Source organism: Homo sapiens, chromosome 8, assembly GCF_000001405.40.
Source record: "Homo sapiens chromosome 8, GRCh38.p14 Primary Assembly".
Classification (NCBI taxonomy): Eukaryota; Metazoa; Chordata; class Mammalia; order Primates; family Hominidae; genus Homo; species Homo sapiens.
In genome coordinates, this window is record NC_000008.11 from 43,945,790 (window position 1) to 43,973,434 (window position 27,645).

The 27,645-nt window shown below is 37.0% G+C and overlaps 12 annotated features.

The window, feature by feature from the left end:
* Positions 915 to 1,437: an enhancer, noted in NCBI's record as "OCT4-NANOG hESC enhancer chr8:43801847-43802369 (GRCh37/hg19 assembly coordinates)". NCBI's record gives its function as "activates a minimal SCP1, AML or CMV promoter by ChIP-STARR-seq in naive and primed H9 embryonic stem cells {active_cell/tissue: H9 hESC(naive and primed)}" and the evidence as "EXISTENCE:reporter gene assay evidence [ECO:0000049][PMID:30033119]".
* Positions 2,599 to 3,100: an enhancer, noted in NCBI's record as "OCT4 hESC enhancer chr8:43803531-43804032 (GRCh37/hg19 assembly coordinates)". NCBI's record gives its function as "activates a minimal SCP1, AML or CMV promoter by ChIP-STARR-seq in primed H9 embryonic stem cells {active_cell/tissue: H9 hESC(primed)}" and the evidence as "EXISTENCE:reporter gene assay evidence [ECO:0000049][PMID:30033119]".
* Positions 19,353 to 19,938: an enhancer, noted in NCBI's record as "OCT4-NANOG-H3K4me1 hESC enhancer chr8:43820285-43820870 (GRCh37/hg19 assembly coordinates)". NCBI's record gives its function as "activates a minimal SCP1, AML or CMV promoter by ChIP-STARR-seq in naive H9 embryonic stem cells {active_cell/tissue: H9 hESC(naive)}" and the evidence as "EXISTENCE:reporter gene assay evidence [ECO:0000049][PMID:30033119]".
* Positions 21,109 to 21,692: an enhancer, noted in NCBI's record as "OCT4-NANOG-H3K27ac-H3K4me1 hESC enhancer chr8:43822041-43822624 (GRCh37/hg19 assembly coordinates)". NCBI's record gives its function as "activates a minimal SCP1, AML or CMV promoter by ChIP-STARR-seq in naive and primed H9 embryonic stem cells {active_cell/tissue: H9 hESC(naive and primed)}" and the evidence as "EXISTENCE:reporter gene assay evidence [ECO:0000049][PMID:30033119]".
* Positions 21,693 to 22,278: an enhancer, noted in NCBI's record as "OCT4-NANOG-H3K27ac-H3K4me1 hESC enhancer chr8:43822625-43823210 (GRCh37/hg19 assembly coordinates)". NCBI's record gives its function as "activates a minimal SCP1, AML or CMV promoter by ChIP-STARR-seq in naive and primed H9 embryonic stem cells {active_cell/tissue: H9 hESC(naive and primed)}" and the evidence as "EXISTENCE:reporter gene assay evidence [ECO:0000049][PMID:30033119]".
* Positions 22,279 to 22,862: an enhancer, noted in NCBI's record as "OCT4-NANOG-H3K27ac-H3K4me1 hESC enhancer chr8:43823211-43823794 (GRCh37/hg19 assembly coordinates)". NCBI's record gives its function as "activates a minimal SCP1, AML or CMV promoter by ChIP-STARR-seq in primed H9 embryonic stem cells {active_cell/tissue: H9 hESC(primed)}" and the evidence as "EXISTENCE:reporter gene assay evidence [ECO:0000049][PMID:30033119]".
* Positions 24,031 to 24,616: an enhancer, noted in NCBI's record as "OCT4-NANOG-H3K27ac-H3K4me1 hESC enhancer chr8:43824963-43825548 (GRCh37/hg19 assembly coordinates)". NCBI's record gives its function as "activates a minimal SCP1, AML or CMV promoter by ChIP-STARR-seq in naive H9 embryonic stem cells {active_cell/tissue: H9 hESC(naive)}" and the evidence as "EXISTENCE:reporter gene assay evidence [ECO:0000049][PMID:30033119]".
* Positions 24,617 to 25,200: an enhancer, noted in NCBI's record as "OCT4-NANOG-H3K27ac-H3K4me1 hESC enhancer chr8:43825549-43826132 (GRCh37/hg19 assembly coordinates)". NCBI's record gives its function as "activates a minimal SCP1, AML or CMV promoter by ChIP-STARR-seq in naive H9 embryonic stem cells {active_cell/tissue: H9 hESC(naive)}" and the evidence as "EXISTENCE:reporter gene assay evidence [ECO:0000049][PMID:30033119]".
* Positions 25,201 to 25,784: an enhancer, noted in NCBI's record as "OCT4-NANOG-H3K27ac-H3K4me1 hESC enhancer chr8:43826133-43826716 (GRCh37/hg19 assembly coordinates)". NCBI's record gives its function as "activates a minimal SCP1, AML or CMV promoter by ChIP-STARR-seq in naive and primed H9 embryonic stem cells {active_cell/tissue: H9 hESC(naive and primed)}" and the evidence as "EXISTENCE:reporter gene assay evidence [ECO:0000049][PMID:30033119]".
* Positions 25,785 to 26,368: an enhancer, noted in NCBI's record as "OCT4-NANOG-H3K27ac-H3K4me1 hESC enhancer chr8:43826717-43827300 (GRCh37/hg19 assembly coordinates)". NCBI's record gives its function as "activates a minimal SCP1, AML or CMV promoter by ChIP-STARR-seq in naive and primed H9 embryonic stem cells {active_cell/tissue: H9 hESC(naive and primed)}" and the evidence as "EXISTENCE:reporter gene assay evidence [ECO:0000049][PMID:30033119]".
* Positions 26,369 to 26,954: an enhancer, noted in NCBI's record as "OCT4-NANOG-H3K27ac-H3K4me1 hESC enhancer chr8:43827301-43827886 (GRCh37/hg19 assembly coordinates)". NCBI's record gives its function as "activates a minimal SCP1, AML or CMV promoter by ChIP-STARR-seq in naive and primed H9 embryonic stem cells {active_cell/tissue: H9 hESC(naive and primed)}" and the evidence as "EXISTENCE:reporter gene assay evidence [ECO:0000049][PMID:30033119]".
* Positions 26,955 to 27,538: an enhancer, noted in NCBI's record as "OCT4-NANOG-H3K27ac-H3K4me1 hESC enhancer chr8:43827887-43828470 (GRCh37/hg19 assembly coordinates)". NCBI's record gives its function as "activates a minimal SCP1, AML or CMV promoter by ChIP-STARR-seq in naive and primed H9 embryonic stem cells {active_cell/tissue: H9 hESC(naive and primed)}" and the evidence as "EXISTENCE:reporter gene assay evidence [ECO:0000049][PMID:30033119]".

Here is a 27,645-nt window from a genome sequence, read left to right on the forward strand (position 1 = left end):
CTGCACTCAACTCACAGAGATCAACCTTCCCTTTGATAGAGCAGTTTTGAAACACTCTTTTTGTAGAGTTTGCAAGTGGAGATATAGAGCGTTTTGGGGCCTATGGTAGAAAAGGAAATATATTCATAGAAAAACTACACGGAAGCATGCTCAGAAACTGCTTTGTGATGTTTGCATTCAACTCACAGAGTTGAATATTCCTTTTGATAGAGCAGTTTTGAAACATTCTTTTTGTAGGATCTGCAAGTGAATATTTGGACCTCTACGAGGTCTTCGTTGGATACGGGAAATTCTTCACTTAAAAACTAGACAGGGCCGGGAACGGTGGCTCAAGCCTGTAATCCCAGCACTTTGGGAGGCCGAGGCGGGTGGATCATGAGGTCAGGAGATCGAGACCATCCTGGCTAACAAGGTGAAACCCCGTCTCTACTAAAAATACAAAAAATTAGCCGGGCGCGGTGGCGGGCGCCTGTAGTCCCAGCTACTCGGGAGGCTGAGGCAGGAGAATGGCGTGAACCCGGGAAGCGGAGCTTGCAGTGAGCCGAGATTGCACCACTGTAGTCCGCAGTCCGGCCTGGGTGACAGAGCGAGAATCCGTCTCAAAAAAAAAAAAAAAAAAAAACTAGACAGAAGAAACTCAGAAACTATTTGTGATGTGTGCATTCAGCTCACAGAGTTGAACCTTCCTTTTGATAGAGCAGTTTTAAAACACTCTTTTTGTAGAATTCCCAACTGGATATTTAGAGCACTTTGAAGCCTATGGTAGAGAAGGAAATATCTTCATAGAAAAGCTACACAGAAGCATTCTCAGAAACTACTTTTTGATGTTTGCATTCAACTCACAGAGTTGAACTTTCCTTTTGATAGACCAGTTTTGTAACACTCTTTTTGTAGAATCTGCAATTGGACATTTTGGCCTCTTTGAGGCCTTCGTAGGAAATGGGATTCCTTCATATAAAAACTAGACAGAAGAATTCTTAGAAATTTCTTTGTGATGTGTGCATTCAAATCACAGAGTTGAAACTTCCTTTCAATAGAGCAGTTTTGAAACACTCTTTTTGTAGAAATTCTAAGTGGATATTTAAGGGGTTTGAGGCCTATGGTAGAAAAGGAAATATCTTCATATAAAAACTAGACACAATGATTCTCAGAAACTAGTTTGTGATGTGTGTGTTCAACTCACAGATTTTAACCTTTCTTTTGATGGAGCAGTTTTGAAACACTCTTTTCCAAAGTTTGCAAGTGTGGATTTAGAAGGCTTTGAGGCCTATGGTACAAAAGGAAATATCTTCACATAAAAACTAGACAGAAGCATTCTCCTAAACTACTTTGTGATGTTTGCATTCAACTCACAGAGTTTAACCTTTCTTTTGATAGAGAAGTTTTGAAACACACTTTTTGTAGAATTTGCAAGTGCATATTTAGAGATCTTTGGGTCTATGGTAGAAAAGGAAATATCATCCCAAAAAACTAGACAGAAGCATTCTCAGAAACCACTTTGTGATGTTTGCATTCAACTCACCGGGTTGAACAATCATTTGATAGAGCAGTTTTGAAACACCCTTTTTGTGTAATCTGCAAGTGGACATTTGGACCGCTTTGAGGACTTCATTGGAAATGGGTATATCTTCAAATAAAAATCAGACAGAAGGATTCCCAGAAACTGCTTTGTGATGTGTGCATTCAACTTACAGAGTTAAACTTTTCTGTTGATAGAGCAGTTTTGAAACACTCTTTTTGTAGAATCTCCAAGTGGATATGTGCCTCCCTTTGAGGCTTATGTTGGAAAAGGAAATATCTTCATATAAAAACAAGAAAGAATCATTCTCAGAAACTTATTTTTGATGTGTGCCTTCAACTAACAGAGTTGAACCTTCCTTTTGATAGAGCATTTTTGAAACAATCTTTTTGTAGAATCTGCAAGTGGATCTTTGGAGTGCTTTGAGGCCTACTTTTGAAACGGGTATAACTTCACATAGAAAGTAGACAGAAGTATTCTCAGAAACTTCTTTGTGAGGTCTGCATTCAACTCACAGAGTTGAAACTTCCTTTGGATAGAGCAGTTTTGAAACACTCTTTTTGTAGAATTTGCAAATGAATATTTAGAGAGCTTTGTGTCGAATAGGAAGTATTTTAATAAAAAAAGTAGACAGAAGCATTCTAAGAAACTATTTTGTGATGTTTCCATTCAGCTAACAGAGTTGAACATTCCTTTGTATAGAGAAGTTTTGAAACAGTCTTTTTGTGGAATCTGCAAGTGGATATTTCGACCGATTTGAGGCCTTCGTTGGAAACGGGATTATCTTCACATAAAATCCAGAGAGAAGCATTCTCAGAAACTTCTTTGTGATATGTGTATTCAACTCACAGAGGTGAATATTTCTTTTGATATAGCAGTTTACAAACACTCTTTTTGTAGGATCTTCAAGTGGATATTTTATTCCCTTTGAGGCCCATGTTGGGAAAGGAGTTAACTTCACATAAAAACTAGAATGAATCGTTCTCATAAACTTCTTTGTGATGAGTGAATTCAACTCACAGAGTTGAATCTTTCTTTTGACAGCCGTTTTGAAATGCTCTGTATGTAAAGTTTGCAAGTGGATAATTGGAGGTCTTTGAGGTCTTTATTGGAAACGGGAATATCTTCACATATAAAGTAGACATAAGTATTCTCTGAAACTTCTTTGTAATGTCTGCACTCAACTCACAGAGATAAACCTTCCCTCTGATAGAGCAGTTTTGAAATAGTCTTTTTGTAGAATTTGCAAGTAGATATTTAGAGTGTTTTGTGGCCTATGGTAGAAAAGGAAATATATTCATAGAAAAACTACACAGAAGCATTCTCAGAAACTGCTTTGTGATGTTTGCATTCAACTCAAAGACTTGAACATTCCTTTTGATAGAGCAGTTTTGAAACACTCTTTTTGTAGGATCTGCAAGTGGATATTTGGACCTCTATGAGGCCTTCGTTGGAAACGAAAAATTCTTCACTTAAAAACTAGAGAGAAGAAATCTCAGAAATTTTTTGTGATGTGTACACTCAACTCAGAATTGAACCTTCCTTTTGATGGAGCAGTTCTGAAACACTGTTTTTGTAGAATTTCCAACTGGATATTTAGAGCGCTTTGAAGCCTATGGTATAGAAGGAAATATCTTCATAGAAAAAGTACACAGAAGCATTCTCAGAAACTACTTTGTGATGTTTGCATTCAACTCACAGAATTGAACATTCTTTTTGATAGAGCAATTTTGTAACACCCTTTTCATAGAATCTGCAAGTGGATATTTGGAACTCTTTGAGACCTTCATTGGAAACGGGATTTCTTCCTATGAAAACTAGACAGAAGGATTCTCAGAAACTTCTTTGTGATGTGTGCATTCAGTTCACAATGTTGAACCTTCCTTTCGATAACCAGTTTTGAAACACTCTTTTTGTAGAATTTCCAAGTGGATATTTAGAGCTATTTGCGGCCTATTGTAGAAAAGGAAATATCTTCATATAACCACTAGACAGAATCATTCTCAGAAACTGCTTTGTGATATTTGCATTCAATTCACAGAGTTTAACACTTCTTTTGATAGAGCAGTTTTGAAACAATCTTTTTTGTGGAATTTGAAAGTGAGTATTTAGAGGGCTTTGAGGCCTATGGTACAAAAGGAAATATCTTCATATGAAAACTAGACAGAACCATATTCAGAAACTACTTTGTGATGTGTGCTTTCAACTCACAGAGTTTAACCTTTCTTTTGATGGAGCAGTTTTAAGACACACTTTTTGTAGAATTTGCAAGTGTATATTTAGAGCACTTTGAGGCATATGGTAGAAAAGGAAATATCTTCACGTAAAAAGTAGACAGAAGCATTCTCAGAAACTACTTTGTAATGATTGCATTCAACTCACAGAGTTGAACATTGCTCTTGATAGAGCAGTGTTGAAACACTCTTTTTGTAGAATCCGCAAGTGGATACTTGGACCTCTTTCAGGCCTTCATTGGAAGCGAGATCTCCTCATTTAAATACTTGACAGAAGAATTTTCAGAAAATTCTTTGTGATGTGTGCATTCAACTCACAGAGTTTAACCATCCTTTCGATAGAGCAGTTTTGAAACAATCTTTTTGTAGAATTTCCAAGTGGATATCTTGTGCACTTTGAGGCCTTTGGTCTAAAAGGAAATATCTTCATATAAAAACTTGACAGAATCATTCTCAGAAAGTACTTTGTGATGTGTGAGTTCAACTCTCAGAGTTTAACATTTCTTTTCATGGTGCAGTTTTGAAACACTCTTTTTGTAGAATTTGCAAGTGTATATTTAGAGCGCTTTGAGGCCTATAGTAGAAAAGGAAATTTCTTCACATAAAAACTAGACAGAAGCACCCTCAGAAACTGCGTTGTGGTGTTTGCATTCAACTAAGAGAGTTGAACATTCCCCTTGATAGAGCCGTTTTGAAACACTCTTTTTGTAGTATCTGCAAGTGGATATTTGGAACTCTTTGAGACCTTCGTTGGAAACCGGATTTCTTCATTTAAATATGAGACAGAAGAATTCTCAGAAACTTCTTTGTGATGTGAGCATTCAACTCACAGAGTTGAACGTTCCTTTTGATACACAAGTTTTGAAACACTCTTTTTGTAGAATTTCCAATTGGATTTTTAGAGCGCTTGGAGGCCTATGGTAGAAAAGGAAATATCTTCACATAAAGACTAGACAGAATCATGCTCAGAAACTAGTTTGTGATGTGTGCGTTCAACTCACCCAGTTTAACATTTCTTTTGATGGGGAAGTTTTGAAACACTCTTTTTGTAGAATTTGCAAGTGTATATTTAGAGTGTTTTGAGGCCTATGGTAGGAAAGGAAATATCTTCACATAAAAACTAGACAGAAGAATTCTCAGAAACTACTTTGTGAGTTTTGCATTCAATTAACAGAGTTGAACATTCCTCTTGATAGAGCAGTTCTGAAACACTCTTTTTGTAGGATCTGCAACTGGTTATTTTGACCTCTTTGAGGTCTTCGTTTGAAACGGGATTTCTTCATTTAAATACTGGACAGAAGAATTCTCAGAAACGTCTTTGTGTTGTGTGCATTCAACTCACAGAGTTGAACTTTCATTTTGATAGAGCAGTTTTCAAACACTCTTTTTGTAAAATTTCCAACTGGATATTCGGAGCGCTTGGAGCCGTAAGGTACAAAAGGAAATATCTTCATATAAAAACTAGACAGAACCATTGTCAGAAACTACATTGTGATGTGTGCATTCAACTTTCATAGTTTAACCTTTCTTTTGATAGAGCAGTTATGAAACACTCTTTTTTTTTTTAGAATTAGCAAGTGTGTATATAGAGGGATTCTGGGCCCATGGTAGAAAAGGAAATATCTTTACATAAAAACTAGACAAAATCATTCTCAGAAACTACTTTGTGATGTGTGTGTTGCACTCACAGAGTTTATCCTTTCTTTTGATGACGCAGTTTTGAAACACTCATTTAGTAGAATTTTCAAGTGGATATTTAGAGCGCTTTGAAGCCTATGATAGAAAAGGAAATATCTTCATAGAAAAACTACACAGAAGCATTCTCAGAAGCTACTTTGTGATGTTTGCATTCAACTCACAGAGTTGAACATTCCTTTTGATAGAGTGGATTTGTAACACTCTTTTTGTAGAATCTGTAAGTGGATATTTGGACCTCTCTGAAGCCTTCCTTGGAAACAGTAATTTCTTCATATGAAAACTAGACAGAAGAATACACAGAAACTTCTTTGTGATGAGTGCATTCAATTCACAGAGGTGAACCTTCCTTTCGATAGAGCAGTTTGGAAACACTCTTTTTGTAGAATTTCCAAGTGGATATTTAGAGCACTTGGAGGCTATGTTAGAAAAGGAAATGTCTTCATATAAAAACTAGACAGAAGTTTTCTCAGAAACGATTTGTGATGTGTACATTCAATTCACAGAGTTTAGCTTTTCTTTTGATAGAGCAGTTACAAAACACTCTTTTTGTAGAATTTGCAAGTGTGTATTTAGAGTGCTTGGAGGCCTATGGTAGAAAAGGAAATATCTTCACATAAAAACTAGACAGAAGCATTCTCAGAAACCACATTATGATGTGTGCGTTGAACTCACAGAATTTAATCTTTCTTTTGATGGAGCACTTTTGCAAAACTTTTTTTGTAGAATTTCCAAGTGGATATTTAGAGCGCTTTGAAGCCTGTGATAGAAAAGGAAATATCTTCATAACAAACTACACAGAAGCATTCTCAAAAACTACTTTGCGATGTTTGCATTCAACTCACAGTGTTGAACATTCCTCTTGATAGATGTGTTTTGAAACACTGTTTTTGTAGACTCTGCAAGTGGATATTTGGACGTCTTTGAGTCCTTCTTTGGAAAAGGGATTTCTTCATATAACAACTAGACAGAAGATTTCTCAAAAACTTTGTGATGTGTCCATTCAACTCACAGACTTGAAACTTTCTTTTGATGGAGCAGATTTGAAACAGACTTTTTCTAGAATTTCCAGGTGGATATTTAGAGCACTTGGAGGCTTATGGTAGAAAAGGAAATATCTTCATATAAAAAGTAGTCAGAATCATTATCAGAAACTATTTTGTGATGTGCTCATTCAACTCACAGAGTTGAACCTTTCATTTGATAGAGCAGTTATGAAACACTCTTTTTGAAGTATTTGCCAGTGGATAATTGGAGCGCTTTGTGGCCTATGTTAGTAAAGGAATTATCTTCATAGAAAAACCAGACAGAAGCATTCTCAGAAATTTCTTTGTCATGTGTGCGTTGAACTCACAGAGTTGAATCTTTCTTTTGATAGAGCAGTTTTGAAACACTCTTTTTGTAGAATCCTCAAGTGGATATTTGGAGTGCTTTGAGGCCCAATGTAGAAAAGAAAATACCTTCATATAAAAACTTGAAGGAAGCATTCTCAGAAACTTCTTTGTGATGTTTGCATTCAACTCACGGAGATGAACATTCCTTTTGATAGAGCAGTTTTGAAAAACTCTTTTTGTGGAATCAGCAAGTGGATATTTGGACAACTTTGAGGCCTTTGTAGGAAACAGGATTATCTTCACATAAAAACCAGAGAGAAGAATTCTCAGAAACTTCTTTGCTATGTGTGCATTCAACGCACAGAAGTGAACTTTTCTTTTGACAGAGCAGTTTTTAAACACTCTTTTTGTAGAATCTTCAAGTGGATAATTCATTCCCTTTGGGGCCCATGTTGGAAAACGAATTATCTTCACATAAAAACTAGAAAGAAACATTCTTATAAACTTATTTGTGATGAGTGCATTCAACTCACAGAGTTGAACCTTCCTTTTGACAGAACAGTTTTGAAACACTCTTTAAAATGTCTGAAATTGGAAATTTGGAGGTTTTTTAGGCCTTCTTTGGAAACGGGAATATCTTCACATAAAAAGTAGACAGAAGTATTCTCAGAAACTTCCTTGTGATGTCTGCACTCAACTCACAGATTTGAACCTTCCTTTTTGATAGAGCAGTTTTGAAACACTCTTGTTGTAGAGTTTCCAAAGGGATATTTTCAGCGCTTTGAAGCCGATAGTAGAGAAGGACACATCTTTATAGAAAAACTACACAGAAGCATTCTCAGAAACTACTTTGTGATGCTTGCATTCAACTCACATTGTTGGACATTCCTTTTGATAGAGCAGTTTTGTTACACTCTTTTTGTAGAATATGTAAGTGGATATTTGGACCTCTTTGAGGCCTTCGTTGGAAACGGGATTTCTTCATGTAAAAACTAGACAGAAAAATTATCAGAAACTTCTTTGTGATATGTGCATTCAACTCACAGAATTTAACCTTCCTTTCGATAGAGCAGTTTTGAAATCCTCTTTTTGTAGAACTTCCAAGTGGATATTTAGTGTGCTTTGAGTCCTCATATAAAAACTAGACACAATGATTCTTAGAAACTAGATTGTGATGTGTGCATTCAACTCACAGATTTTAACCTTTGTTTTGAAGGAGCAGTTTTGAAACACTCTTTTTTCAGAATTTGCAAGTGTACATTTAGAGTGCTTTGAGGCCTATGGTAGAAAAGAAAATATCTTCACATAAAAACTAGACAGAAGCATTCTCATAAACTACTTTGTGATGTTTGCATTCAACTCACAGAATTGAACATTCCTCTTGATAGAGCAGTTTTCAAACACTCTTTTTGTAGTATCTGCAAGTGGATATTTGGACCTCTTTGAGGCCTTCATTGGAAATGGGATTTCTTCATGCAAATACTAGACAGTAGAATTCTCAGAAATTTCTTTGTGATGACTGTATTCAACTCACAGAGTTGAATATTATTTTCGATAGAGCAGTATTGAAACACTCTTTTTGAAGTACTTCCAAGTGGATATTTATAGTGCTTTGATGCTTCTGGTAGAAAAGGAAAAAACTTCATTTAAAAACTAGACAGAACCATTCTCAGAAACAACTTTGTGATGTGTGCGTTCAACTCACAGATTTGAACATTTCTTTTGATAGAGCAGTTATGAAACACTCTTTTTGTAGAATTTGCAAGTTTGAATTTAGAGGGCTTTGAGGCCTATGGTAGAAAAGCAAATATCTTCATATAAAAACTAGACAGAAACTTTCTCAGAAACTACTTTGAGATGTGTGCATTGAACTCACAGAGTTTAACCTTCCTTTTGATAGAGCAGTTTTGAAACGCTCTTTTTGTAGAATTTGCAAGTGTATATTTAGAGATCTTTGGGGCCTATAGTAGAAACGGAAATATCTTCCCAAAAAACTAGACAGAAGCATTCTCAGAAACTACATTTGTGATGTTTGCATTCAACTCACGGAGTTGAACAATCATTTGATAGAGCTGTTTTGAAACACCCTTTTTGTGGAATCTGCAAGTGGACATTTGGACCGCTTTGAGGCCTTCATTGGAAATGGGTATATCTTCACATAAAAACCAGACAGAAGGATTCCCAGAAACTTCTTTGTGATGTGTGCATTCAGCATACAGAATTGAACTTTTCTGTTGATAGAGCAGTTTGAAACACTCTTTTTGTAGAATCTGCAAGTGGATATGTGCCTCCCTTTGAGGCTTATGTTGGAAAAGGAAATTTCTAACTGGATATTTAGAGCACTTTGAACCCTATGGTAGAGAAGGAAATACCGTCATAGAAAAGCTACACTGAAGCATTCTCAGAAACTGCTTTGTGATGTTTGCATTCAATTCACAGAGTTGAACATTCCTTTTGATAGACCCGTTTTGTAACACTCTTTTTGTAGGATCTGCAAGTGGATATTTGGGCCTCTTTGAGGCCTTCTTCAGAAACGGGATTTCTTCATATAAAAACTAGACAGAAGAATTCTCAGAAACTTCTTTGTGATGTGTGCATTCCACTCACAGAGTTGAACCTTCCTTTCAATAGAGCAGTTTTGAAACAGTCTTTTTGTAGAATTTCCAAGTGGATATTTAAGGGGTTTGAGGCCTATGGTAGAAAAGGAAATATCTTCATATAAATAGTAGACACAATGATTCTCAGAAACTTGTTTGTGATGTGTGCATTAAACTCACAGATTTTAACTTTCTTTTGAAGGAACAGTTTTGAAACACTCTTTTTGTAGAATTTGCAAGTGTGTATTTAGAGGGTTTTGAGGCCTATTTTACAAAAGGATATATCTTCACATAAAAACTAGACAGAAGCATTCTCCTAAACTACTTTGTGATGTGTGCGTTCAACACACAGAGTTTAACCTTTCTTTTGATGGAGCAGTTTTGAAACACACTTTTTGTAGAATTTCCAAGTGGATATTTAGAGCTTTTTGAAGTCTATTGTAGAAAAGGAAATATCGTCATAGAAAAACAACATGGAAGCATTCTCAGAAACTGCTTTGTGATGTTTGCATTCAACTCACAGAATTGAACATTCCTCCTGATAAAGCAGTTTTGAAACACCCTTTTTGTTGAATCAGTAAGTGGATATTTGGACCTCCTTGAGGCATTCTTTGGAAACGGGAATTTCTTCACTTAAAAACTAGGCAGAAGAAATCTCAGAAACTTTTTGTAATGTGTGCATTAAACTCACAGTTGTGAACCTTCCTTTTCATAGAGCAGTTTTGAAACACTCTTGTAGAATTTCCAAGTGGATGTTTGGTGCGCTTTGAAGCCTATGGTAGAAAAGGAAATATCTTCATAGAAAACTACACAGAAGCATTCTCACAAAGTATTTTGTGATGTTTGCATTCAACTCATAGAGTTGAACATTCCTCTTTATAGAGCAGTTTGAAGCACTTTTTTGTAGAATTTGCAAGTGGATGTTTGATTGCCTTTGATGCCTATGTTGGGAAAGGAATTATCTTCACATAAAAACTAGAAAGAAACATTCTCATAAACTTCTTTGTGATGAGTGCATTCAAATCAAGGAGTCGAACCTTCCTTTTGATAGAGCAGTTTTCAATCACTCTTTTGTAGAATCTCCATGTGGATATTTGGAGCGCTTTGAGGCCTTCTTTGGAAACGGGAATATCCTCACATAAAAAGTAGACAGAAGTATTCTCAGAAACTACTTTGTGATGTCTGCACTCATCTAACAGAATTGCAACTTCCTTTTGATAGAGCACTTTTGAAACACTCTTTCTGTTGAATTTGCAAGTGGACAATCAGAGCGCTTTGAGGCCTATGGTAGCAAAGGTAATATCTTCATAGAAAAACAACTACACAGAAGCATTCTCAGAAACTACTTTGTGAAATTTGCATTCGACTCACAGAGTTGAATGCGTCTTTTGATAGAGCAGTTTTGAAACACTGTTTTTGTAGAATATGCAAGTGGATATTTGGAACTCTTTGAGGCCTTCGTTGGAAACGGGAATTGCTTCAATTAAAAACTAGACAGAAGAATTTTCAGAAACTACCTTGTGATGTCTGCACTCAACGCACAGTGTTCAACCTTCTGAAACACTCTTTTTGTAGAATTTGCAAGTGGATATTTAGAGCGTTTTGGGGCCTATGGTAGAAAAGGAATTACCTTCACCCAAAAACCACACAGAAGCATTCTGAGAAAATGCTTTGTGATGTTTGCATTCAACTCACAGATTTTAACTTTTCTTTTGATGGCGCAGTTTTGAAACACTCTTTGTAGAATTTTCAAGTGGATATTTAGATCGTTTTGAGGCGTAAGGTAGGAAAGGAAATATCTTCTTAGAAAAACTACACAGAAGGATTCTCAGAAACTACTTTGTGATATTGGCATTTAACTCACAGAGTTGAACATTCCTTTTGATAGAGCAGTTGTGAAACACTTTTTGTAGAATCTGCAAGTGGATATTGGGACATCTCTGAGGCCTTCATTGGAAACGGGAATTTCTTCATATAAAAACTAGACAGAAGAATTCTCAGAAACTTCTTTGTGATGTGTGCATTCAATTCACAGAGTTGAACCTTCCTTTCAATAGAGCAGTTTTGAAACACTCTTCTTGTAGAATTTCCAAGTGGATATTTAGAGCAGTTAGAGGCCTATGGTACAAAAGGAAATGTCTTCAAATAAAAACAAGACAGAAGCATTCTCAGAAACTTCTTTGTGATGTGTGCATTCAACTCACAGAGTTGAACCTTCGTTTCGATAGAGCAGTTTTGAAACACGCTTTTTATCGAATTCCCAGCTGGATATTTAGAGCGCTTTGAGGCCTATGGTAGAAAAGGAAATACCTTCATAGAAAAACTACACAGAATCGTTCTCAGAAACTAATTTGTGAGGTTTGCATTCAACTCATAGAGTTGAACGTTCCTTTCATAGAGAAGTTTTGAATCACTTTTTTGTTGTTGTTGTTGAATCTGCAAGTGGATATTTAGACCGCGTTGAGGCCTTCATTGGAAACCGGTTTATCTTCACATAAATACCAGACAGAAGCATTCTCAGAACCTTCTTTGGGATGTGTGCATTCAACTCACAGAGGTGAAATTTTCTTTTGAAAGAGCAGTCTTGAAACACTATTTTTGTAGAATCTGCAAGTGGATACTTTATTCCCTTTGAGGCCTTTGTTGGAAAAGGAATTATCTTCACATAAAAATTAGAAAGAAACATTCTCGTATACTTCTTGGAGATGAGTGCATTCAACTCACAGAGTTGAAGATTCCTTTTGATAGAGCAGATTTGAAACACTCTGTTTATAAGTCTGCAAGTGGATATTTGGTTGGCTTTGAGGTCTTCTTTGGAAACGGTAATATCTTCACCTAAAAAGTAGACAGAGGTATTCTCAGAAACTTCTTGTGATGTCTGCACTCAACCCACAGAGTTCAACGGTCCTTTTGATAGAGAGGATTTGAAACACTCTTTGTGTAGAATTTGCAAGAGGATAATTAGAGCGCTTTGAGGCCTATGTTAGAAAACGGAATATCTTCATAGAAAAATTACACAGAAACATTCTCAGAAACTATTTTGGGATGTTTGTATTCAACTCAAGGAGTTATACATATCTTTTGATAGAGCAGATGTGAAACACTCTTTTTGTAGAATTTTCAAGTGGATATTTAGAGCGCTTTTATGCCTACGGTGGAAAAGGAAATATCTTCATAGAAAAATTACACAGAAGCATTCTCAGAAACTACTTTGGGATGTTTGCATTCAACTCACGGAGTTGAACATTCCTTTTTCATAGAGCAGTTTTGTAACACTCTTTTTGCAGAATCTGCAAGTGGATATTTGGACCTCTTTGAGTCCTTCGTTGGAAACGGGATTTCTTCATATAAAAACTAGACCAAAGAATTCTCAGAAACTTCTTTGTGAAGTGTGCATTCAACTCACAAGGATGAACCTTCCTTTCAATAGAGCAGTTTTTAAACACTCTTTTTGTAGAATTTCCAAGTGGATATTTAGAGCGCTTTGAAGTCTATGGTAGAAAAGGAAATATTTTCATATAAAAACTAGACAGAAAGGCTGGTTCAATATACACAAATCAATAAATGTAATCCATCATATAAACAGAGCCAAAGACAAAAACCACAGGATTATCTCAATAGATGCAGAAAAAGCCTTTGGCAAAATTCAACAACACTTCATGCTAAAAAGTCTCAATAAATTAGGTATTGATGGGACGTATTTCAAAATAATAAGAGCTATCTATGACAAACCCACAGCCAATATCATACTGAATGGGCAAAAACAGGAAGCATTCCCTTTGAAAACTGGCACAAGACAGGGATGCCCTCTCTCACCACTCCTATTCAACATAGTGTTGGAAGTTCTGGCCAGGGCAATTCTGCAGGAGAAGGACATAAAGGGTATTCAATTAGGAAAAGAGGAAGTCAAATTGTCCCTGTTTGCAGACGACACGATTGTATATCTAGAAAACCCCATTGTCTCAGCCCAAAATCTCCTGAAGCTGATAAGCAACTTCAGCAAAGTGTCAGGATACAAAATCAATGTACAAAAATCACAAGCATTCTTATACACCAACAATAGACAAACAGAGAGCCAAATCATGAGTGAACTCCCATTCACAATTGCTTCAAAGAGAATAAAATACCTAGGAATCCAACTTACAAGGGATGTGAAGGACCTCTTCAAGGAGAACTACAAACCACTGCTCAACGAAATAAAAGAGGATACAAACAAATGAAAGAACATTCCATGCTCATGGGTAGGAAGAATCAATATCGTGAAAATGGCCATACTGTCCAAGGTAATTTACAGATTCAATGCCATCCCCATCAAGCTACCAATGACTTTCTTCACAGAACTGGAAAAAACTACTTTAAAGTTAATATGGAACCAAAAAAGAGCCCGCATCGCCAAGTCAATCCTAAGCCAAAAGAACAAAGCTGGAGGCATCGCACTACCTGACTTCAAACTATACTACAAGGCTACAGTAACCAAAACAGCATGGTACTGGTACCAAAACAGAGATATAGATCAATGGAACAGAACAGAGCCCTCAGAAATAACGCCACATATGTACAACTATCTGATCTTTGACAAACCTGAGAAAAACAAGCAATGGGGAAAGGATTCCCTATTTAATAAATGGTGCTGGGAAAACTGGCTAGCCATATGTAGAAAGCTGAAACTGGATCCCTTCCTTACACCTTATACAAAAATCAATTCAACATGGATTCAAGACTTAAATGTTAGACCTAAAACTATAAAAAACCTAGAAGAAAACCTAGGCAATACCATTCAGGACGTAGGCATGGGCAAGGACTTCATGTCTAAAACACCTAAAGCAATGGCAACAAAAGCCAAAATTGACAAATGGGATCTAATTAAACTAAAGAACTTCTGCACAGCAAAAGAAACTACCATCAGAGTGAACAGGCAACCTAAAAAATGGGAGAAAATTTTCACAACCTACTCATGTGACAAAGGGCTAATATCCAGAATCTACAATGAACTCAAACAAATTTACAGGAAAAAAACAAACAACCCCATCAAAAAGTGGGTGAAGGACATGAACAGACAGTTCTCAAAAGAAGACATTTATGCAGCCAAAAAACACATGAAAAAATGCTCATCATCACTGGCCATCAGAGAAATGCAAATCAAAACTACAATGATATACCATCTCACACCAGTTAGAATGATGATCATTAAAAAGTCAGGAAACAACAGGTGCTGGAGAGGATGTGGAGAAATAGGAACACTTTTACACTGTTGGTGGGAATGTAAACTAGTTCAACCACTGTGGAAGTCAGTGTGGTGACTCCTCAGGGATCTAGAACTGGAAGTACCATTTGACCCAGCCATCCCATTACTGGGTATATACCCAAATGACTATAAATCATGCTGCTATTGTGGCATTATTCACAATAGCAAAGACTTGGAACCAACCCAAATGTCCAACAATGATAGACTGGATTAAGAAAATGTGGCTCGTATACACCGTGGAATACTATGCATCCATAAAAAAGGATGAGTTCATGTCGCTGTAGGGACATGGATGAAACTGGAAATCATCATTCTCAGTAATCTATCACAAGAACAAAAAACCAAACACCGCATATTCTCACTCATAGTTGGGAATTGAACAATGAGATCACATGGACACAGGAAGGGGAATATCACACTCTGGGGACTGTGGTGGGGTGGGGGGAGGGGGGAGGGATAGCATTGGGAGATATACCTAATGCTAGATGACGAGTTAGTGGGTGCAGCGCACCAGCATGGCACATGTATACATATGTAACTAACCTGCACAATGTGCACATGTACCCTAAAACTTAAAGTATAATAAAAAAAAATAAAAAACAAACAAACAAAAAAACCAGACAGAATCATTCTCAGAAACTCCTTTGTGATGTGTGGGTTCAACTCACAGAGTTTAACATTTCTTTCGATAGAATAGTTTTGAAGCACTCTGTTTGTAAAGTCTGCAAGTGAATATTTGATGCACTTTGAGGCCTTCTTTGGAAAAGGTAATATCTTCACATAAAAAGTAGACAGAAGTATTCTCAGAAACTTCTTTGTGATCTCTGCACTCCACTCAGAGATTTGAAACTTCCTTTTGATAGAGCAGTTTTGAAACACTATTTTTGTAGGATTTGAAAGTGAATATTTAGAGCGTTTTGGAGCCTATGTTGGAAAAGATAATATCTTCATTCAAAAACTACACAGAAGCATTCTCAGAAACTACTTTGATGTTTGCATTCAACTCACAGAGTTGAACATTCCTTTTGATAGAGCAGTTTTGTAACACTTTCTTTGTAGAATCTGCAAGTGGATATTTTGACCTCTCTGAGGCCTTCGTTGGAAACGGGAATTTCTACGTATAAAAACTAGACAGAAGAATTCTCAGAAACTTCTTTGTGATGTGTGCATTCAATTCACAGAGTTGAACCTGACTTTCGATAGAGCAGTTCTGAAACACTCTTTCTGTAGAATTTCCAAGTGGATATTCAGAGTGGTTTGAGTCCTATGGTAGAAAAGGAAATATCTTCATATAAAAATTAGACATTATCATTTTCAGAAACTACTTTGTGATGTGTGCATTCAACTCACAGATTTGAACCTTCCTTTTGATAGAGCAGTTTTGAAACACTCTTTTTGTAGAATTTGCAAGTGAATATTTAGAGGGCTTTGATGCCTATTGTAGAAAAGGAAATATCTTCATAGAATAACTACACAGAAACATTCTCAGAAAGTAATTTGTGATGTTAGCATTCAACTCACAGAGTTGAACCTTCCTTTTGATAGAGCATTTTTTGAAACACTCTCTTTGTAATGGCTGCAAGTGGATATTTGGAGCAATTTGAGGTCTTCTTTGTAAATGAGAATATCTTCACGTAAAAAGTAGACAGAAGTATTCTGAGAAACTACTTTGTGATGTTTGCACTCAACTCACAGTGCTGAAACTTCCTTTTGATAGAGCAGTTTTGAACCACTATTTTTGTAGAATTTCCAAGTGCATAGTTAGAGCGCTTTGAGGCCTATGGTAGAAAAGGAAATATCTTCATAGAAAAACTACACAGAAGCATTCTCAGAAACTACTTTGTGATGTTTGCATTCAACTCAAAGAGTTGAAGATTCCTTTCGATAGGGCAGTTTTGTAACACTCTTTTTGTAGAATCTGCAAGTGGATATTTGGACCTTTTTGGGGACTTCGTTGGAAATGGGATTTCTTCATATAAAAACTATACAGAAGAATTCTCAGAAACTTCTTTGTGATGTGTGCATTCAACTCACAGATTTGAAATTTCCTTTCGATAGAGCAGTATTGAAACACTCTTTTTGTAGCATTTCCGAGTGGATATTAACAGCGCTTTGAAGCCTGAGTTAGAAAAAAAAATAACTTCATATAAAAACTAGACAGAATCATTCTCAGAAACTACTTTGTGATGTGTGCGTTCAACACACGGCATTTAACCTTTCTTTTGATAAAGCAGTATTGCAACATTCTTTTTGTGGAATTTGCAGGTGGATATTTAGAGCGCTTGGAGTCCTTTGGTAGAATACGAAGTATTTTCATAAAAAAATGGCCAGAAGCATTCTCAGAAACTATTTTGTGATGTTTGTATTCAACACGCAAGGCTGAACCATCCTTTTGATAGAGGAGTTTTGAAACACTCTTTGTGTGGAATCTGCAAGTGGATATTTTGTTCCCTTTGAAGCCTAAGTTGGAAAAGGAAATACCTTCACATAAAAACTAGAAAGAAACATTCTCATAAACTTCTTTGTGATGAGTGCATTCAACTCTCGGAGTTGAACCTTCCTTTTGATAGAGCAGTTTTGAAACACTTTGTAAAGTCTGCAAGTGGATATTTGGAGTGCTTTAAGGCCTTCTTTGGAAATGGGAGTACCTTCACATAAAAAGTAGAGAGAAGTATTTTCAGAAACTTCTTTGTGATGTCTGCACTCAAATCACAGATTTGAAACTTCCTTTTGATAGAGCAGTTTTGAAAAACTGCTTTTGTAGATTTTGCAATTGGATAATTGGAGCGCTTTGAGGCCTATGGTATAAAAGGATATATCATCATAGAAAAACTACACGGAAGTATTCTCAGAAACTTCTTTGTGATGTTTGCATTCAACTCACTGTGTTAAACATTCCTTTTTATAGAGCAGTTATGCAACAGTCTGTTTGTAGAATCTGCAAGTGGATATTTGGACCTCTTTGAGGCCTTCGTTGGAAATGGGAATTTCTTCACTTAAAAACTAGACAGGAGAAATCTCAGAAACTTTTTCTGATGTGTGCATTCAACTCACAGAGTTGAGCCTTCCTTTTGATAGAGCAGTTTTTAAACACTCTTTTTTAGAATTTCCAAGTGGATATTTAGAGCGCTTTGAAGCCTATTGTAGAAAAAGAAATATCTTCAGAGAAAAACTACACAGAAGCCTTCTCAGAAAATACTTTGTGATGTTTGCATTCAACTCACTGTGTTAAACATTCCTTTTTATAGAGCAGTTATGCAACAGTCTGTTTGTAGAATCTGCAAGTGGATATTTGGACCTCTTTGAGGCCTTCGTTGGAAATGGGATTTCTTCATATAAAAACTAGACAGAAGAATTATCAGAAACTTCTTTGTGAAGTGCACATTCAACTCACAGAGATGAAACTTGATTCGATAGAGCAGTTTTGAAACACTCTTTTGGTAGAATTTCCAAGTGGATATTTAGAGCGTTTTGAAGCCTATGGTACAAAAGGAAATATCTTCATATAAAAACTAGACAGAATTATTCTCAGAAGCTACTTTGTGATGTGTGTGTTCAACTCACAGGGTTTAACCTTTCTTTTGATAGAGCAGTTTTGAAACACTCTTTTTGTAGAATTTGCAAGTGTATATTTAGATTGCTTTGAGGCCTATGATAGAAAAGGAAATATCTTCACATAAAAACTAGAGAGAAGCATTCTCAGAAACTACTTTGTGAAGTTTCCATTCACCTCACAGACTTGAACGTTCCTTTGATAGAGCAGTTTTGAAACGCCCTTTTTGTGGAATCTGCAAGTGGATATTTGGACCGCTTTGAGGCCTTCTTTAGAAACGGGTATATGTTCACATAAAAAGCAGAAAGGAGGATTCTCAGAAACTTTTTTGTGATGTGTGCATTCAACTCACAGTGTTGAACCTGTCTTTTGATAGAGCAGTTTTGAAACACTCTTTTGGTAAAATCTGCAAGTGGATATGTGGCTCCCTTTGAGGCCTACTATTGAAAAGGAAATATCTTCACGTAAAAACTAGAAAGTATCATTCCCAGAAACTTCTTTTTGATGTGTGCTTTCAACTCACAGAGTTGAAACTTCCTTTTGATAGAGCAGTATTGAAACACTCTTTTTGTAGAATCTGCAAGTGGATATTTGGATCGCTTTGAGGCCTTCTTTGGAAACGGGTATATCTTCACATAGAAAGTAGACAGAAGTATTCTCAGAAGCTTCTTTGTTATGTCTGCATTCAACTCACAGAGTTGAACCTTCCTATTGATAGAAGATTTTTGAAGCACTCTTGTTGTAGAATCTGCAAGTGGATATTTTGACATCTTTGAGGACTTCGTTGGAAACTGGAATTTCTTCACTTACAACCTTGAGAGAAGAAATCTCAGAAACATTTTGTGATGTGTGCATTCAAATCACAGAGTTTAAACTTCCTTTTGGTAGAGCAGTTTTGAAACACACTTTCTGTAGAAACTGCAAGTGGAAAATTACAGTGCTTTGAGACCCACGGTAGAAAAGAAAATATGTTCACATAAAAACTACACAGAAGCATTCTCAGAAACTACTTTGTGTTGTTTGCATTCAACTCACAGAGTTGAACATTCGTTTTGATTGAGCACTTTTGAAACACTCTTTTTGTAGAATCTGCAGGTGGATATTTGGACCTCTTTGAGGCATTCATTGGAAACGGGAATTTCTTCACTTAAATGCTAGACAGAAGAAATCTGAGAAAATTTTTTTGATGTCTGCATTCAACTCCCATTGTTGTACATTCCTTTTGATAGAGCAGTATTGTAAGACTCTTTTTGTAGAATCTGCCAAGTGGATATTTGGACCTCTCTGAGGCCTTCATTGGAAACGGGAATTTCTTCATATAAAAACTAGACAGAAGAATTCTCAGAAACATCTTTGTGATGTGTGCATTACATTCACAGTATTGAACCTTCTTTCGATAGAGCAGTTTTGAAACTCTCTTTTTGTAGAATTTACAAGTGGATATTTAGAGCAGTTTGAGGCCTATGGTAGAAAAGGAAATATCTTCATATAAAAACTGGACAGAAATATTCTCAGAAACAACTTTGTGAGGTGTGTGTTCAACTCACAGTGTTTAAATTACTTTTGATAGAGCAGTTTTGAAACAATCTTTTTGAACTACTTGCAAATGTATATTTAGAGCGCTTTGAGGCCTATGTTAGAAAAGGAAACATCTTCACATAAAAACTAGACAGAAACATTCTCAGAAACTACTTTGTGATGTTTGCATTCAACTCACAGAGGTAAATATTCCTTTCAATAGAGCAGTTTTGAACCACCCTTTTGTAGAATCTGCAAGTGGATATTTGGATAGCTTTGAGGATTTCATTGGAAACGGGAATGTCTTCATAGAAAATTTAGACAGAAGCATTCTCAGAACCTTGATTGTGATGTGTGTTCTCCACTAACAGAGTTGAACCTTTCTTTTGACAGAACTGTTTTGAAACATTCTTTTTATAGAATCTGGAAGTGGATATTTGGAAAGCTTTGAGGATTTCGTTGGAAACGGGAATATCTTCAAATAAAATCTAGCCAGAAGCATTCTAAGAAACATCTTAGGGATGTTTACATTCAAGTCACAGAGTTGAACATTCCCTTTCACAGAGCAGGTTTGAAACAATCTTCTCGTACTATCTGGAAGTGGACATTTTGAGCTCCTTGGGGCTTATGCTGAAAAAGGAAATATCTTCCGACAAGAACCAGACAGAAGCATTCGCAGAATCACGTTTGTGATGTGTGCACTCAACTGTCAGAATTGAACCTTTGTTTGGACAGAGCACTTTTGAAACACTCTTTTTGTAGAATCTGCAGGTGGATATTTGGCTAGCTTTGAGGATTTCGTTGGAAACGGTAATGTCTTCAAAGAAAATCTAGACAGAAACATCCTCAGAAACACCTTCGTGATGTTTGCAATCAAGTCACAGAGTTGAACCTTCCGTTTCATAGAGCAGGTTGGAAACACTCTTTTTGTAGTATCTGGAAGTGGACATCTGGAGCGCTTTCAGGCCTATGGTGAAAAAGGAAATAGCTTCCCATAAAAACGACATAGAAGCTATCTCAGGAACTTGTTTATGATGCATCTAATCAACTAACAGTGTTGAACCTTTGTACTGACAGAGCAGTTTGAAACACTCATTTTTTGGAATCTGCAAGTGGATATTTGGAGCGCTTTGAGGATTTCGTTGGAAACGGGATGCAATATAAAACGTACACAGCAGCATACTCAGAAAATACTTTGCCATATTTCCATTCAAGTCACAGAGTGGAACATTCCCATTCATAAAGCAGGTTTGAAACACTCTTTTTGGAGTATCTGGAAGTGGACATTTGGAGCGCTTTCTGAACTATGGTGAAAAAGGAAATATCTTCCAATGAAAACAAGACAGAAGCATTCTGAGAAACTTATTTGCGATATGTGTCCTCAACTAACGGACTTGAACCTTTCGTTTCATGCAGTACCTCTGGAACACTCTTTTTGAAGATTCTGCATGTGGATATTTGGATAGCTTTGAGGATTTCGTTGGAAGCGGGCTTACATATAAAAATTAGACAGCAGCATTCTCAGAAACTTCTTTGTGGTGTCTGCATTCAAGTCACAGAATTGAAAATCCCCTCACATAGAGCAGTTGTGCAGCACTCTATCTGTAGTATCTCGAAGTGGACATTTGGAGGGCTTTGTAGCCTATCTGGAAAAAGGAAATATCTTCCCATGAATGCGAGATAGAAGTAATCTCAGAAACATGTTTATGCTGTATCTACTCAACTAACTGTGCTGAACATTTCTATTGAAAGAGCAGTTTCGAGACACTCTTCTTTTGGAATCTGCAAGTGGATATTTGGATAGATTTGAGGATTTCGTTGGAAACGGGATTATATATAAAAAGTAGACAGCAGCATTCTCAGAAACTTCTTTGTGATGTTTGCATCCAGCTCTCAGAGTTGAACATTCCCTTTCATAGAGTAGGTTGGAAACCCTCTTTTTATAGTGTCTGGAAGCGGGCATTTGGAGCGCTTTCAGGCCTATGCTGAAAAAGGAAATGTCTACCTATAGAAACTAGACAGAAGCATTCTGAGAATCTCGTTTGTGATGTGGGTACTCAACTAACAGTGTTGATCCATTCTATGGATACAGCAGTTTTGAACCACCCTTTTTGTAGAATCTGCAAGTGGATATTTGGATAGCTGTGAGGATTTCGTTGGAAACGGGAATGTCTTCATAGAAAATTTAGACAGAAGCATTCTCAGAACCTTGATTGTGATGTGTGTTCTCCACTAACAGAGTTGAACCTTTCTTTTGACAGAACTGTTTTGAAACATTCTTTTTATAGAATCTGGAAGTGGATATTGGGAAAGCTTTGAGGATTTCGTTGGAAACGGGAATATCTTCAAATCAAATCTAGCCAGAAGCATGCTAAGAAACATCTTAGGGATGTTTACATTCAAGTCACAGAGTTGAACATTCCCTTTCACAGAGCAGGTTTGAAACAATCTTCTCGTACTATCTGGAAGTGGACATTTTGAGCTCCTTGGGGCCTATGCTGAAAAAGGAAATATCTTCCAACAAAAACTAGACAGAAGCATTCGCAGAATCACGTTTGTGATGTGTGCACTCAACTGTCAGAATTGAACCTTGGTTTGGACAGAGCACTTTTGAAACACTCTTTTTGTAGAATCTGCAGGTGGATATTTGGCTAGCTTTGAGGATTTCGTTGGAAACGGTAATGTCTTCAAAGAAAATCTAGACAGAAACATCCTCAGAAACACCTTCGTGATGTTTGCAATCAAGTCACAGAGTTGAACCTTCCGTTTCATAGAGCAGGTTGGAAACACTCTTTTTGTAGTATCTGGAAGTGGACATCTGGAGCGCTTTCAGGCCTATGGAGAAAAAGGAAATAGCTTCCCATAAAAACGACATAGAAGCTATCTCAGGAACTTGTTTATGATGCATCTAATCAACTAACAGTGTTGAACCTTTGTACTGACAGAGCAGTTTGAAACACTCTTTTTTTGGAATCTGCAAGTAGATATTTGGATCGCTTTGAGGATTTCGTTGGAAACGGGATGCAATATAAAACGTACAAAGCAGCATACTCAGAAAATACTTTGCCATATTTCCATTCAAGTCACAGAGTGGAACATTCCCATTCATAGAGCAGGTTTGAAACACTCTTTTTGGAGTATCTGGAAGTGGACATTTGGAGCGCTTTCTGAACTATGGTGAAAAAGGAAATATCTTCCAATGAAAACAAGACAGAAGCATTCTGAGAAACTTATTTGTGATGCGTGTCCTCAACTAACGGACTCGAACCTTTCGTTTCATGCAGTACTTCTGGAACACTCTTGTTGAAGATTCTGCATGCGGATATTTGGATAGCTTTGAGGATTTCGTTGGAAACGGGCTTACATATAAAAATTAGACAGCAGCATTCTCAGAAACTTCTTTGTGGTGTCTGCACTCAAGTCACAGAATTGAACATCCCCTCACATAGAGCAGTTGTGCAGCACTCTATTTGTAGTATCTCGAAGTGGACATTTGGAGGGCTTTGTAGCCTATCTATGTAGAAAAAGGAAATATCTTCCCATGAATGCGAGATAGAAGTAATCTCAGAAACATGTTTATGCTGTATCTACTCAACTAACTGTGCTGAACATTTCTATTGATAGAGCAGTTTTGAGACACTCTTCTTTTGGAATCTGCAAGTGGATATTTGGCTAGATTTGAGGATTTCGTTGGAAACGGGATTATATATAAAAAGTAGACAGCAGCATTCTCAGAAACTTCTTTGTGATGTTTGCATCCAGCTCTCAGAGTTGAATATTCCCTTTCATAGAGTAGGTTTGAAACCCCCTTTTTGTAGTGTCTGGAAGCGGGCATTTGGAGCGCTTTCAGGCCTATGCTGAAAAAGGAAATATCTACCTATAGAAACTAGACAGAAGCATTCTGAGAATCTCGTTTGTGATGTGGGTACTCAACTAACAGTGTTGATCCATTCTTTTGATACAGCAGTTTTGAACCACCCTTTTTGTAGAATCTGCAAGTGGATATTTGGATAGCTGTGAGGATTTCGTTGGAAACGGGAATGTCTTCATAGAAAATTTAGACAGAAGCATTCTCAGAACCTTGATTGTGATGTGTGTTCTCCACTAACAGAGTTGAACCTTTCTTTTGACAGAACTGTTTTGAAACATTCTTTTTATAGAATCTGGAAGTGGATATTTGGAAAGCTTTGAGGATTTCGTTGGAAACGGGAATATCTTCAAATAAAATCTAGCCAGAAGCATTCTAAGAAACATCTTAGGGATGTTTACATTCAAGTCACAGAGTTGAACATTCCCTTTCACAGAGCACGTTTGAAACAATCTTCTCGTACTATCTGGAAGTGGACATTTTGAGCTCCTTGGGGCCTATGCTGAAAAAGGAAATATCTTCCGACAAAAACTAGACAGAAGCATTCGCAGAATCACGATTGTGATGTGTGCACTCAACTGTCAGAATTGAACCTTGGTTTGGACAGAGCACTTTTGAAACACTCTTTTTGTAGAATCTGCAGGTGGATATTTGGCTAGCTTTGAGGATTTCGTTGGAAACGGTAATGTCTTCAAAGAAAATCTAGACAGAAACATACTCAGAAACACCTTCGTGATGTTTGCAATCAAGTCACAGAGTTGAACCTTCCGTTTCATAGAGCAGGTTGGAAACACTCATTTTGTAGTATCTGGAAGTGGACATTTGGAGCGCTTTCAGGCCTATGGTGTAAAAGGAAATAGCTTCCCATAAAAGCGACATAGAAGCTATCTCAGGAACTTGTTTATGATGCATCTAATCAACTAACAGTGTTGAACCTTTGTACTGACAGAGCAGTTTGAAACACTCTTTTTTTGGAATCTGCAAGTGGATATTTGTATCACTTTGAGGATTTCGTTGGAAACAGGATGCAATATAAAACTTACACAGCAGCATACTCAGAAAATACTTTGCCATATTTCCATTCAAGTCACAGAGTGGAACATTCCCATTCATAGAGCAGGTTTGAAACACTCTTTTTGGAGTATCTGGAAGTGGACATTTGGAGCGCTTTCTGAACTATGGTGAAAAAGGAAATATCTTCCAATGAAAACAAGACAGAAGCATTCTGAGAAACTTATTTGTGATGCGTGTCCTCAACTAACGGACTCGAACCTTTCGTTTCATGCAGTACTTCTGGAACACTCTTTTTGAAGATTCTGCATGCGGATATTTGGATAGCTTTGAGGATTTCGTTGGAAACGGGCTTACGTATAAAAATTAGACAGCAGCATTCTCAGAAACTTCTTTGTGGTGTCTGCATTCAAGTCACAGAACTGAACATCCCCTCACATAGAGCAGTTGTGCAGCACTCTATTTGTAGTATCTCGAAGTGGACATTTGGAGGGCTTTGTAGCCTATCTGGAAAAAGGAAATATCTTCCCATGAATGCGAGATAGAAGTAATCTCAGAAACATGTTTATGCTGTATCTACTCAACTAAGTGTGCTGAACATTTCTATTAATAGAGCAGTTTTGAGACACTCTTTTTTTCGAATCTGCAAGTGGATATTTGGCTAGATTTGAGGATTTCGTTGGAAACGGGATTATATATAAAAAGTAGACAGCAGCATTCTCAGAAACTTCTTTGTGATGTTTGCATCCAGGTCCCAGAGTTGAACATTCCGTTTCATAGAGTAGGTTTGAAACCCCCTTTTTATAGTGTCTGGAAGCGGGCATTTGGAGTGCTTTCAGGCCTATGCTGAAAAAGGAAATATCTACCTACAGAAACTAGACAGAAGCATTCTGAGAATCACGTTTGTGATGTGGGTACTCAACTAACAGTGTTGATTCATTCTTTTGATACAGCAGTTTTGAACCACCCTTTTTGTAGAATCTGCAAGTGGATATTTGGATAGCTGTGAGGATTCGTTGGGAACGGGAATTTCTTCATAGAAAATTTAGACAGAAGCATTCTCAGAACCTGGATTGTGATGTGTGTTCTCCACTAACAGAGTTGAACCTTTCTTTTGACAGAACTGTTTTGAAACATTCTTTTTATAGAATCTGGAAGTGGATATTTGGAAAGCTTTGAGGATTTCGTTGGAAACGGGAATATCTTCAAATAAAATCTAGCCAGAAGCATTCTAAGAAACATCTTAGGGATGTGTACATTCAAGTCACAGAGTTGAACATTCCCCTTTCTCAGAGCAGGTTTGAAACAATCTTCTCGTACTATCTGGCAGTGGACATTTTGAGCTCCTTGGGGCCTATGCTGAAAAAGGAAATATCTTCCGACAAAAACTAGACAGAAGCATTCGCAGAATCACGTTTGTGATGTGTGCACTCAACTGTCAGAATTGAACCTTTGTTTGGACAGAGCACTTTTGAAACACTCTTTTTGTAGAATCTGCAGGTGGATATTTGGCTAGCTTTGAGGATTTCGTTGGAAACGGTAATGTCTTCAAAGAAAATCTAGACAGAAGCATTCTCAGAAACACCTTCGTGATGTTTGCAATCAAGTCACAGAGTTGAACCTTCCGTTTCATAGAGCAGGTAGGAAACACTCATTTTGTAGTATCTGGAAGTGGACATTTGGAGCGCTTTCAGGCCTATGGTGTAAAAGGAAATATCTTCCCATAAAAGCGACATAGAAGCTATCTCAGGAACTTGTTTATGATGCATCTAATCAACTAACAGTGTTGAACCTTTGTACTGACAGAGCAGTTTGAAACACTCTTTTTTTGGAATCTGCAAGTGGATATTTGGATCGCTTTGAGGATTTCGTTGGAAACGGGATGCAATATAAAACGTACTCAGCAGCATACTCAGAAAATACTTTGCCATATTTCCATTCAAGTCACAGAGTGGAACATTCCCATTCATAGAGCAGGTTTGAAACACTCTTTTTGGAGTATCTGGAAGTGGACATTTGGAGCGCTTTCTGAACTATGGTGAAAAAGGAAATATGTTCCAATGAAAACAAGACAGAAGCATTCTGAGAAACTTATTTGTGATGCGTGTCCTCAACTAACGTACTCAAACCTTTCGTTTCATGCAGTACTTCTGGAACACTCTTTTTGAAGATTCTGCATGCGGATATTTGGATAGCTTTGAGGATTTCGTTGGATACGGGCTTATATATAAAAATTAGACAGCAGCATTCTCAGAAACTTCTTTGTGGTGTCTGCATTCAAGTCACAGAATTGAACATCCCCTCACATAGAGCAGTTGTGCAGCACTCTATTTGTAGTATCTCGAAGTGGACATTTGGAGGGCTTTGTAGCCTATCTGGAAAAAGGGAATATCTTCCCATGAATGCGAGATAGAAGTAATCTCAGAAACAGGTTTATGCTGTATCTACTCAACTAACTGTGCTGAACATTTCTATTGATAGAGCAGTTTTGAGACACTCTTCTTTTGGAATCTGCAAGTGGATATTTGGATAGATTTGAGGATTTCGTTGGAAACGGGATTATATATCAAAAGTAGACAGCAGCATTCTCAGAAACTTCTTTGTGATGTTTGCATCCAGCTCTCAGAGTTGAACATTCCCTTTCATAGAGTAGGTTTGAAACCCCCTTTTTATAGTGTCTGGAAGCGGGCATTTGGAGCGCTTTCAGGCCTATGCTGAAAAAGGAAATATCTACCTACAGAAACTAGACAGAAGCATTCTGAGAATCACGTTTGTGATGTGGGTCCTCAACTAACAGTGTTGATTCATTCTTTTGATACAGCAGTTTTGAACCACACTTTTTGTAGAATCTGCAAGTGGATATTTGGATAGCTGTGAGGATTTCGTTGGAAACGGGAATGTCTTCATAGAAAATTTAGACAGAAGCATTCTCAGAACCTGGATTGTGATGTGTGTTCTCCACTAACAGAGTTGAACCTTTCTTTGGACAGAACTGTTTTGAAACATTCTTTTTATAGAATCTGGAAGTGTATATTTGGAAAGCTTTGAGGATTTCGTTGGAAACGGGAATA